Here is a 12714-nt window from a genome sequence, read left to right on the forward strand (position 1 = left end):
GATACCAACCTTGTGGCAGTGATTTTTAAGGACTGGCTGAGATCAGGGATGCAAAGTGCTCATTCAAGACAGCCTTCTGGCCGGGCACGGTGGCTCAGGCCTGTAATCTCAGCACTTTGGGAGGCTGAGGTGGGCAGTTCACCTGAGGTCAGGAGTTCAAGACCAGCCTGGCCAACATGGTAAAACCCCGTCTCTACCAAAAACACAAAAATTAGCTGTGCCTGGTGGCATGCGCCTGTAATCCCTGCTACTCGGGAGGCTGAGACAGGAGAATTGCTTGAACCAGGGAGGCAGAGGTTGTAGTGAGCCGAGATCACACCACTGCACTCCAGCCTGGATGACAGAGCAAGACTCTGTCTCAAAAAAACAAAACAAAACAAACAAACAAAACAGGCTCTGACACTCCGGCCATAGCTGAAGTCTGGGGTGGGGAGGTGTTGTCACAGAATAATTTTTCTGAGCCTCAAGCATGAAGCTAAGAGACCTTTTTGAAGGGCCAGGCCAGTGTCTTACCTGCCCCAGGTCCTTGTCACTTTCTGCCATCCTGGTGTCCCCACCAGGCACCCCAGGCCTTGCTGTGCAAAGGAGGCACACAGCTGAGAAGAGGCAGGTTCTAGCTCTGTCATTTCCTTTCTGAGTGACCTTGGACATGTCCTTTTCTGAACCTCAGTTTCCCCACCTGTAAGATGAAGACACTAAGAGTATTCAGGACAGGTGTCGTGGCTCATGCCTGTAATCCCAGCACCTTGGGTGGCCGAGGCGGGCAGATCACTGGAGGTCAAGAGTTTGAGACCAGCCTGGCCAACATGGTGAAACCCCGTCTCTACTAAAAATACAAAAAGTAGCCAGGCGTGGCGGCACGTGCCTGTAGTCCCAGCTACTTGGGAGACTGATCCAGGAGAATCACTTGAACCTGGGAGGCAGAGGCTCCAGTGAGCCGAGATTGCGCCCCTGCACTCCAGCCTGGACGACAGAGCAAGACTCCATCTCAAAAAAATAAAAAGAGTTTGACACCAGCCTGGGCAACATTTCAAGACCACATCTCTACAAAAAATATTTTTTAAATTAGCCTGGCATTGTGGTGCATGCCTGTAGTCCCAGCTACTTGGGATGCTGAGGTGGGAGAATTGCTTGAGCCCAGGAGTTCCAGGCTACAGCGAACTATGATCACGCCACTGCACTCCAGCTTCGGTGACAGAACAAGAGCCTGTCTCTTTAAAAAAAAAAAAAGCATCTGCTTGCAGCCCGTCTGCATATGTTAAGCCCTTCACTGGAGCTTGGCATCTGGCCACAGCATCATGCTTGGGAGCTGCGCTGGAGGTGGCAGTGGTGGCCTGATGGTTTCTTCTCCCCCATCACGTGATAGGCAGTGTGGCATGGTGGTCACACAGCACAGGCTCCAGAGCCAAGGCTCTGCCACTTTCTGGCTGTGCAATCCTGGGGCAAGTGACCAAACCCCTCCAGGCCTCAACCTCCTCGTCTGGAAAGTGGGCGTTATAACCGGGCTTCGCGGCGTTGTGAAAATGGATGTAATATGCATAAAGCACTTAGAACACTGCCTGCTAAGGGGTAAGTGTCCTGAAAGTGATCCAAATTAAATATTAATAGCCCTTTATGATCTGCAGAGGCTCCCCAGGCATGGGCATCTTTCAGCCCTTTTAGGAGAATGCTGCAGCAGAGGACTCTGTCCTAAAGGAGTCCTGTTCACCCCCAACGCTCAATTCATTCCTACCTGTTTTCTGCCTCCCTTCGTTTTTTTTGTTGTCTGTTTGTTTTTTGAGACAAGGTCTCAGTCACCCAGGCTGGAGGGCAGTGGTGCAGTCACAGCTCACTGCAGCCTCAACCTCCCGGGCTCAAGCAATCCTCCTGCTTCAGCCTCCTGAGTAGCTGGGACCACAGGCATGTGCCACCACACCTGGCTAATTTTTGTATTTTTTGTAGAGACAGAGTCTCGCTGTGTTGCCCAGGCTGGTCTCAAACTCACGGGCTCAAGCGGTCTTCCCACCTTGGCCTCCCGAAGTGCTGGGATTATAGACATAAGCCACCACGCCTGGCCTATTGCGGTTTTTTATTCAGATGGAAAGAGCTCCCCCTGGTCTGCCAAGCTATGGATTTATCTTATTTTTCACAGCTTTGGTAGGGCCTCTCATAAAAGGCCCTTAAAGAGAAAGCCAGCAGATAAATCCATGAATGGCCTTGAGGAGTGTGTCTCTTTGGACAGCAGGCATGGCTGGGGGAGGGGAGAGACGAGAAGGCAGGAGAGGCAGTAGGGTCTCCTTCCCCTTGAGTGAATCTCATATTTACATACCGCTCTCTGGCTCTGGGCCAGGCATGTGGTAAGCATTTTACAGATTTTTTTTTTTTTTTTTTTTTGAGATGGAGTCTTGCTCTGCCGCCCAGGCTGGAGTGCAGTGGCGCAGTCTCGGCTCACTGCAACCTCCGCCTCCTGGGTTCAAGTGATTCTCCTGCCTCAGCCTCCCGCGTAGCTGGGATTACAGGGGTCTGCTACCACACCCAGCTAATTTTTGTATTTTTTTTTTTTTTAGTAGAGATGGGGTTTCGCCATGTTGGCCTGGCTGGTTTCGATCTCCTGACCTCAGGCGATCTGCCTGCCTCACCCTCCCAAAGTGCTGGAATTACAGGCGTGAGCCACCGCGCCCAGCCACATTTTTACGGATATTAACTCACCTGTACCCTGGTAGCAAGCATGTGAAGTGGGTCCTGTAATCCCTTTCACGGATAAGGAGACCGAGGCCCCAGTGGCTGACTCACTTACCTACCTCCCTCTTACCTGACTTAGAGAATAAACTTCCTTTTTTTTCTGAGACAGAATCTCGCCCTGTCACCCAGGCTGGAGTGCAGTGGCGTGATCTCAACTCACTGCAACCTCCACCTCCTAAGAGTTTAAGTGATTCTCGTGCCTCAGCCTCCCAAGTAGCTAGGACTACAGGCAGCCACCACCACACCCAGCTAATTTTTGTATTTTTAGTGGAGATGGGGTTTCACCATGTTAGCCAGGCTGGTCTCGAACTCCTGACCTCAGGCGATCTGCCTGTCTCGGCCTCCCAAAGTGCTGGGATTACAGGTGTGAGCCACCGTGCCTGGCCAGATAATAAACTTTCTCTGCAAGTTTTCCTCTGAATGAAAAGTTATGTAGCTTAAATTTTTTTTTTTTTTTTTTTGTAGAGACAGGCTGGTTGTTCAGGCTGGTCTTGAACTCCTGGGTTCAAGCTATCCTCCTCCCTCGGCCTCCCAACGTGTTTGGATTACAGGTGTGCACCACCATGCTCAGGTCATTTTTTATTTTTTGTAGAGATGAGGTCTCCCTGTGTTGCCCAGGCTGTTCTTGAACTCCTGGGCTCAAGCGATCCTCCGGTCTTGGCCTCTACGCCTGGCCAAGAATTTTTTTTTTTAAATTGCAGCGTCCATATGATGTTCCCATTTTATGGACAGGGAACTGAGGTCAGGAGAAAGGAATGGGGTTTTGCTTACCTCGTCAAGGACTGGGACTCAGAGCTTCTGTCACTTCTATCAAAGGGGTTGGGACAAAGGTTGTGTGTGTGTGTGTGTGTGTGTGTGTGTGTGTGTGTGTGTGTGTGTAATAGGTGGGGGGCGGGGCAGACCCCCTCCTCCAGTAACCCCATCCCTGCAGGAGCTGCGGGAGCGAGTACTCAGAGGGAAGTACCGGGTCCCTTTCTACATGTCAACAGACTGTGAGAGCATCCTGCGGAGATTTTTGGTGCTGAACCCAGCTAAACGCTGTACTCTCGAGGTGAGCCCAGCCTCACAGCCAGCGGGAGCCCTTCTAGTCTCCTGACTCCCCTAAACTCTGCCTGCCCCCACCCACAAAAGCCTTCTTGACACACTTTTCCTCTCCTGTGCCCACCGAAGATCTGCTGCTGGTGAGTGGGGGTAGACAGGCCGTCCAGGGAAAAGCTCCCAGGCCTGTCCTGACGCCACCCCCCCGACAGGCTCACCCACTCCCTGCCTTGCCAGTAATTAGCTAATGAGCTCCTAGGATGATTACAGGGTGCCAGGGACCCAGATGATGCGGAGGAGGGAGGGTGGCATCAGGAGGCTCCGGCAGGGGACGTGGGGGAGAGAGAGGCCCAGGAGGCGCTATCTCTTAGGAAGCCCGCAATTCTGGGTGTTAGGCCTCGGAGGTTTGGGGCAGGGCAGAAGCTGTATGATTTCTGGTTCCTTCTGACACCTGTCTTCCCCCTTCCCTGCTCCTGATGCCTGCAGCAAATCATGAAAGACAAATGGATCAACATCGGCTATGAGGGTGAGGAGTTGAAGCCATACACAGAGCCCGAGGAGGACTTCGGGGACACCAAGAGAATTGGTGAGGGTCAGGGAGAGCCATCCTGTCACCCAGGATGGAGTGCAGTGGTGCAATCTCGGCTCACTGCAACCTCCGCCTCCCAGAATCAAGAGATTCTTGTGCCTCAGCCTCCCAAGTAGCTGGGACCACAGGCGCCTGCCGCCATGCCCGGCTAATTTTTGTTATTTTTAGTAGAGACAGGGTTTTGCCATGTTGGCCATGCTGGTCTCAAACTCCTGACCTCAGGTGATCTGCCTGCCTCAGCTTCCCAAATTGCCAGGATCACAGGTGTGAGCCACTGTACCCGGCCCATGTTCGCTTTGATATTAAGACATAAAGAGAGACCAGGCGAGGTGGTTCATGCTGGTAATCCCAGCACTTTGGGAGGTCGAGGTAGAAGAATCACTTGAGCCCAGGAGTTGGAGACCAGCCTGGCCAACATAGGGAGACCCTGTCTGTACAAAAAAATAAAAATAAAAAATTAGCCAGTTGTGGTTGTGTGCACCTGTAGTCTCAGCTACTCAGCAAGCTGAGGTAGGAGGATCCCTTGAGCCCAACAATTTGAGGCTACAGTGAGCTATGATCATGCCACTGCACTCCAGGCGACAGGGTGAGACCGTGTCTCAAAAAAAGAAAAAAAGGTCAGGCACAGTGGCTCACGCCTATAATCTGAGCACTTTGGGAGGCTGAGGCTGACAGATCACCTGAGGTCAGGAGTTCGAGACCAGCCTGGCCAACATGATGAAACCTCGTCTCTACTAAGAATACAAAAATTAGATGAGTGTGGTGGCAGGCACCCGTAATCCCAGCTCCTCTGGAGGCTGAGGCACGAGAATTGCTTGAATCCAGGAGGCAGAGGTTGCAGTGAGCTGAGATTGCACCACTGTACTCCACCCTGGGCGACAAGCAAAATTCCATCTAAAATAACAATAATTACGGTTTTTACCATTAAATGGCAAAAACCGGAATTACTTTTGTATCAACCTAATTATATTAGTAGGTTGAACACAACAAAAAGTTGAACCATATGAAATTGCCATTTTTTTGGTTTAAAATTGTCAGTACCACCAATTTTGTATGGTTTAACCTAATAGTGATGATTTATTCTGCCACATAACTAAAATGAATAGAGTATGCAGCCTTCAGGCACAGTTGTATCCAGGTGCTCAGAGACAGTTGTTGGGAATGTTTTCTGTGGTAGCTTTTTCCCAGGCTGCTCTCCAGGAGGCAAGCAGATCTGGGTCACATGCCTTCAATGAAGCAGTCAGTGTGGCTTTGGGTGTAGAACACACTAATTAGCCAGACCTGGGTTATCCGCCTGCCTTAGGGTTGGAGCAGGGGAGCCATCCACGTGATCTGAGCGGAAAGAATGTTCTTTCAAAGGAAATCAATGTGCTGTTGGGAAGGGAGGATGGGTACTGGACAGGTCAAAGAGCAGACACCAGTGAATGACACAGAAATGAGTGGAAGTGGGCCAGGTGCAGTGGCTTATGCCTGTAATCCCAGCACTTTGGGAGGCCCAGGTGGGTGGATTGCTTGTGCCCAGGAGTTTCAAACCAGCCTGGACAACATAGCAAAACCCTGTCTCTACTGAAAATACAAAAACTGAGGTGGGAGGATCAGCAGAGCCTGGGGAGGCCGAGGCTGCAGTGAGCTGTGACCGTGCCACTGCACTCCAGCCTGGGTGACAGAGTGACACCCTGTCTCAAAAAAAAAGAGAAATGGATGGAAGTTAAAGTTTCTGGGAGTCTGAAACTTCTCTCCATCCCCCCCTCCCAGAGGTGATGGTGGGTATGGGCTACACACGGGAAGAAATCAAAGAGTCCTTGACCAGCCAGAAGTACAACGAAGTGACCGCCACCTACCTCCTGCTGGGCAGGAAGACTGAGGTCAGGGGGCGCCAGGGGCCCTTGGGGACGCGTGATGCCTGGGTGGAGGGACTTGGGGTGCAGAAGAGCCTCATCTGTCATCCTCTCGCAGGAGGGTGGGGACCGGGGCGCCCCAGGGCTGGCCCTGGCACGGGTGCGGGCGCCCAGCGACACCACCAACGGAACAAGTTCCAGCAAAGGCACCAGCCACAGCAAAGGGCAGCGGAGTTCCTCTTCCACCTACCACCGCCAGCGCAGGCATAGCGATTTCTGTGAGTATCAACCCCACGCCCTCACGCACCCTCCTTCTCCCCAAGGCCCAGACTTACAGTTACGTCAGGGTTCTCTGATTGGCAAGCAACAGAAACCCACTGGAGCTAACCTCAGAGAGGGAGGAATGTCTTATAAAGACACAGGGCATTGCATGGAACTTGGAGGCAGGAATGCACAGCCAGGCTCAGGAAGGGATTAAAACCGGAAAAGCAGCCAGACCCAGAGCAGACACTCTCTGTCTTGCTTCCTCTCTGCTTGTGTGGTTTTTCCTTTGTCTCTCACTTATCTCATCCTATCTTTTTTCCTGATGTCCCAGCTCCCCGATTTTTTTTTTTGAGATGGAGTCTCACTCTGTGCCTCAGGCTGTAGTGCAGTGGTGTGATCTTGGCTGATGGCAACCTCTGCTGCACAGGTTCAAGCGATTCTTCTGCCTTAGGCTCCCGAGTAGCTGGGATTACAGGCGCCTGCCATAACCCCCCGGCTAATTTTTGTATTTTCAGTAGAGATGGGGTTTCACCATGTTGGCCAAGCTGGTCTTGAACTCCTGACCTCGTGATCCACCCTCGGCCTCCCAAAGTGCTGGCATTACAGGTGTGAGCCACTGTGCCCAGCCTTTTCTTTTCTTTTCTTTCTTTTTTTTTTTGAGACAGAGTCTCACTCTGTATCCCAGGCTGGAGTGCAGTGTCGTGATCTTGGCTCACTGCAACCTCCACCTCTTGGGTTCAAGCGATTCTTGTGCCTCAGCCTCCTGAGTAGCCGGGATTACAGGCACCTGCCACCACACCTGGCTAATTTTTGTATTTTTAGTAGAGACAGGGTTTCACCATGTTGGCCAGGCTGCTCTTATACTCCTGACCTCATGATCCACCCACCTCAGCCTCCCAAGGTACTGGGATTACAGGTGTGAGCCACTGCACCCAGCCCCCAATTTCTTACCTTAGAGACCAGTCCAAATGGCAGCTGGAATCTCTGGTCCAGGATGAAGCTCTGATATCAGAGTCAAGTTTGAATTAATCCATTGTAACTGGGGCACAGGAGGACACGTTGTACAAAGTGGCTGCTGAGAGTCTGCCCTCTGGCTTTGCCTCCACACTGAAGTAAAGGAGGCTCTGGAAGAGAGCTGGGCGGACAGCTGATTATACCCCACATTCTGCAACTGACAGACATCTCATCTGCTGCAGAAAATGAATACAGAGTCTGAGTTTAAATCTGGGCCAGGCACGGTGGCTCATGTCTGTAATCCCTTGGGAGGCCGAGGTGAGTGGATCACCTGAGGTTGGGAGTTTGAGACCGGCCTGGCCAACATGGTGAAACCCTGTCTCTACTAAAAACACAAAATTAGCTGGGCGTGTTGGTGCGTGCCTATAATCCCAGCTACTCGGGAGGCTGAAGCAGGAGAATTGCTTGAAACTGGGAGGCGGAGGTTGCAGTGAGCCGAGATCATGCCATTGCACACCAGCCTGGGCAACAGAGAGACCTCATCTCAAAAAAATTAAAAAAAAAAAAAAAAGGATACACACCACCATCAGCACCCATTAGGCATGGAGACTTCTGAGAGGTCCCTTCACCCACACACTCATCAAATTTTAACCCTCTCTTCTATTTTTTTTAACGGCTTTATTAAGGTTAAAATTCATATACCAAACAACGTACCCATTTAAAGTGCACAATTCAGGCCGGGCATGGTGGCTCACGCCTGTAATCCCAGCACTTTGGGAGGCTGAGGGCAGGAGGATTGCTTGAGCCCAGGAGTTCTAGACCAGCCTAGGCAACATAGCAAGACCCCGTCTCTACAAAAAAATTAAAAATTGGCCAGGCACAGCGGCTCACGCCTGTAATCCCAGCACTTTAGGAAGCCGAGGTGGGAGGATCACGAGGTCAGGAGTTCAAGACCAGCCTGGCCAAGATGGTGAAACCCTGTCTCTACTAAAAATACAAAAAAAGCCAGGCATGGTGGCGGGCACCTGTAATCCCAGCTACTCGGGAGGCTGAGGCAGAGAATTGCTTGAACCTGGGAGGTGGAGGTTGCAGTGAGCCGAGATCACGCCACTGCACTCCAGCCTGGGCCACAGAGCGAGACTCCGCCACCCCGCCCCCTAAAAAATTAAAAATTAGGTGTGGTAGTACACGCCTGTGGTCCCAGCTACTTGGGAGGCTGAGGTAGGAAGACCACTTGAACCCAGGAGATCGAGGTCGTGGTGAGCCGTGATCGCGCCACTGTACTCCAGCCTGGGTTACAGAGCGAGACCTCATCTCAAAAAATAAATTAAAAAGTGCACAATTCAGTGGCTTTAATATATTTATAGAGTTGTACATCTATCATGATGACCGATTTCAGAACATTTTCATTACCCCAAAAAGAAAATTCACAACTTTTAGCAATCAACTTCCAGGCAGGGCATGGTGGCTCATGCCCGTAATCCTAGCACTTTGGGAGACTGAGGCAGGCAGATCACCTGAGCGCAGGAGTTCGAGACCACTGGGCAACATGGCGAAACCCCATCTCCACTATAAAATACAAAAATTAGCCGGGCGTAGTGGCAGGCGTCTGTAATCCCAGCTACTCAGGAGTCTGAGGCAGGAGAATTGCTTGAACCTGGGAGGCGGAGGTTGCAGTAAGCTGAGATCGCGCCACTACACTCTAGCCTGGGCGATAAGAGTGAGACTTCCTCTCAAAAAAAAAAAAAAAAAAAAAAAAAAATCAACTTCCAATCCCCCTTCCACCCTCAGCTACTAATCTACTTTCTATGTCGATGAATTTGGCTATTCTAGACATTTCAGGTAAATGGAATTACACGATGTGTGGCCTTCAGTGACTGGCTTCTTTCATTTAGCAGAAAGTTTTCAAGGTTCATCCATGATATGGGTATCAGCACTTCATTCCTTTTCATTGGCAAGTAATATTCCATTGCATAGATAGACCACATTTTGTTTATCCATTCATGAACACGTGGATTGCCTCCACTTTTTGGCTGTTGTGAATGATGCTGCTGTGAACATTTGTATCCGTGTTTTTGTGTGGCTGTGTTTTGCCGTCATTTCTCTTGGGTACGTATCTGGGAGTGGAATTGCTGAGTCATCTGGTAACTGTGTGTTTAATAATAGTTTGAGGAACTTTCAGGGTGTTTTCCAACTCTGTTCGTTTTACAGCCCTGCTTGTCTGCAGGGGTGAAGTTCTTACTCTGGGACAGGTACTAGGCTGTCTGCTTGTCTAATCTTTTTTTTCTCTGTCTTACATATCTCACCTTATCTTTTTCTAGATCTCTCAGCTCCTAGATTTCTTCTTTTTTTTCTTTTTTTGAGACAGAGTCTCACTCTGTCGCCCAGGCTGGAGTACAGTGGTGCGATGGTGGCTCACTGAAACCTCAGTCTCCCAGGTTCAACTGATTCTCCTGCCTCAGGCCCCCGAGCTGGAATTACAAGCCACCTTGCCCAGCTAATTTTGTATTTTTAGTAGAGACAGGGTTTCACCGTGTTGGCCTGGCTGGTCTTGAATTCCTGACCTGAGGTGATCCACCCGCCTCGGCCTCCCAAAGTGCTGGGATTGCAGGCGTGAGCCACTGTGCCCAGCCACTCCTAGATTTCTTTTCTTTTTTTTTTTTTTGGAGGCAAAGTCTCGCTCCGTTGCCCAAGCTGGAGTGCAGTGGCGCAATCTTGGCTCACTGCAAGCTCCACCTCCCGGGTTCATGCCATTCTCCTGCCTCAGCCTCCCGAGTAGCTGGGACTATAGGTGTCCACCACCACGCCCAGCTAATTTTTTGTATTTTTAGTAGAGATGGGGTTTCACTGTGTTAGCCAGGATGGTCTTGATCGCCTGACCTCATGATCCACCTGCTTTGGCTTTGGCTTCCCAAAGTGCTGGGATTACAGGCATGAGCCACCGCGCCTGGCCCGCTCCTAGATTTCTTACATCTCAGTTTTAGAATCCAGCCCAGGGCTGAGTGCAGTGGCTTACGCCTGTAATCCCAGCACTTTGGGAGGCTGAATTGGGTGGATCACTTGAGCTCTCAAGTTCGACACCAGCCTGGGCAACATGATGAAACCTCATCTCTACAGAAAAATACAAAAATTAGGCTGGGCGCAGTGGCTCTTGCCTTGTAATCCCAGCACTTTGGGAGGCCGAGCTGGGTGGATCACCTGAGGTCAGCAGTTTGAGAGCAGCCTGGCCAACATGGTGAAACCCTGTCTCTACTAAAAATATCAAAATTAGCCGGGTGTGGTGGTGAGCACCTGTAATCTCAGCTACTTGGGAGGCTGAGGCAGGAGAATTGCTGGAACCCGGGAGGCAGAGGTTGCAGTGAGCCGAGATTGTGCCATTGCACTTCAGCCTGGGCGGCAACAGCAAGACTCTGTCTCAAAAACAAAACAAAACAATTAGCTGGGCATGGTGGTGTGCACCTGTAATCCCAGCTACTTGAGAGGCTGAGGTGGGAGGATGGTTTGAGCCTGGGAGGCCGAGGTTGCAATGAGTCCAGATCGTGCCACTGCACTCCAGCCTGGGCGATAGAGCCAGACTGCCGTGTCTCAAAAAAAAAAAAAAAAAAAAAAAAGAATCCAGCCCAAGTGTTAGCTAGAATCTCCTTGGTCCACTCATCAGGATCAGGATGGAGCTCTGATATCGAGTCCAGTTGGGATTAATCTGCTGTAATGGGGGCACAGGAGGACACATTGCACAAAGTGGCTGCTGAAAGCCTGCGCTCTGACCTCCCCTCCACACTGAAGTGAGGGAGGAGAGAGGTGTCAGGGAATCTGAGACCCAGCATGAGCCCCACACGGGAAGTGGTGCTTCTGCCCTACCCCCACCATTGCTGGAGGTCAAACCATTCCCTGCCCCTGCGTCTTGTCTTTCCCACCTGTAAAATGACAGGGCGTGCCCAGAAAGTTCCTAAGGAGCTTGTGACTTTGGTATCATATGGTTAGAACGTGGTAACCTTCAGAACTCCCCACACTGAGACCTGAGTTCCAGGGATTCTCAGAGAGGGATTGCTGGCAGGTGCCAGGTATCTGTCATTGTCATTGTAGAGCTCTCAGCTTGTGGTTCTGGGACTTCTGAGCATGTATCGCTCCTGAGGATGTAACAAGCAGACCTTCTGACCCTCTCAAGTTTGAGATCACTTTTCACCCCCGGGTTCTAAAACAGTAGATTCCTAAGATGTTCCTAGAGACCAGAATTATTTTGTGTTGCTTTTGAAATTGTTCATACAATAACATCCTTGAAAATGTGTTAGTTTGGAAAGGATAGACAGTGAAAAAGTCTTCATCCAACACATATCCCCAGCTCCCAGTTTCTCAAATGCAGCAACTGTTACGGTTTTTTGTTGTTGTTTTTGTTTTGTTTTTTGACGGAGTCTCGCACTGTTGCCAGACTGGAGTGCAATGGTGTGATCTCTGCTCACTGCAACCTCTGCCTCCCAGGTTCAAGCGATTCTCCTGCCTCAGCCTTCCAAGTAGCTGGGATTACAGGTGCATGCCACCATGCCCAGCTAATTTTTGTATTTTTAGTAGAGACAGGGTTTTGCCATGTTAGCCAGGCTGGTCTCAATCTCCTGACCTTGTGATCCACCCGCCTTAGCCTCCCAAAGTGCTGGGATTACAGGCGTGAGCCACCGCGCCTGGCCCTGTTATGGGTTTTAATATGAATTCCTTTGGAGAGATTTTATTCATAAACAAACATGTAAAGAGATAAATATGGGACCGGGTGCGGTGGCTCACGCCTGTAATCCCAGCACTTTGGGAGGCCAAGGTGGGAGGATCGCTGGAGTCCAGGAGTTTGAGACCAGCCTAGACAACATGGCGAAATCCTGTCTCTACAAAAAAAAATACAAAAATTAGGTGGGCATGGTAGTGTGTGCCTGTAGTCCCAGCTACTTGGGAGGCTGAAGTGGGAGGATGGCTTGAGCCTAGGAGGCCAAGGTTGCAGCAAGCTGAGGTCACACCACTGTACTTCAGCTTGGGCAACAGAGTGAGATCCTGTCTCAATAAAAAAATTAAAAAAAAGAAGGAAACTTAAGATATATAAAAACAATAAATTCTCCCCTTTTGAAACAAGTTATAGTCCTTTGGAGATATTCATATATAAGCAAGTAGATATAGATACACACTTTTTTGCTTTTGTAGACAAATGATAACACATTGTTGACCCATCTCTTGTCTTGCCTTTTCTACTTTCCAGTCCGTCATGAAGATCATTCTGTACTGGTGCATAAAGTGCTTCCTTATTCTTTTTTATAGCTGCATAATTTTCCACTG

The 12714-nt window shown here is 50.2% G+C and overlaps 1 protein-coding gene across 3 annotated transcripts in view; it reads left to right on the top strand.

Annotated features, from left to right (window-relative positions):
- MARK4 (microtubule affinity regulating kinase 4) overlaps window positions 1-12714 on the top strand; it is a 54014-nt gene that overhangs the window by 23000 nt on the left and 18300 nt on the right. For all 3 annotated transcript variants that reach the window (NM_031417.4, NM_001199867.2, XM_006723307.5), the window contains 4 exons: window positions 3653-3772; window positions 4246-4345; window positions 6104-6213; window positions 6305-6464. In NM_031417.4, the coding sequence (NP_113605.2) occupies window positions 3653-3772; window positions 4246-4345; window positions 6104-6213; window positions 6305-6464 (490 nt within the window). The remainder of the gene's footprint in view (window positions 1-3652; window positions 3773-4245; window positions 4346-6103; window positions 6214-6304; window positions 6465-12714) is intronic.

Source organism: Homo sapiens, chromosome 19, assembly GCF_000001405.40.
Source record: "Homo sapiens chromosome 19, GRCh38.p14 Primary Assembly".
In the NCBI taxonomy this organism is placed as follows: domain Eukaryota; kingdom Metazoa; phylum Chordata; class Mammalia; order Primates; family Hominidae; genus Homo; species Homo sapiens.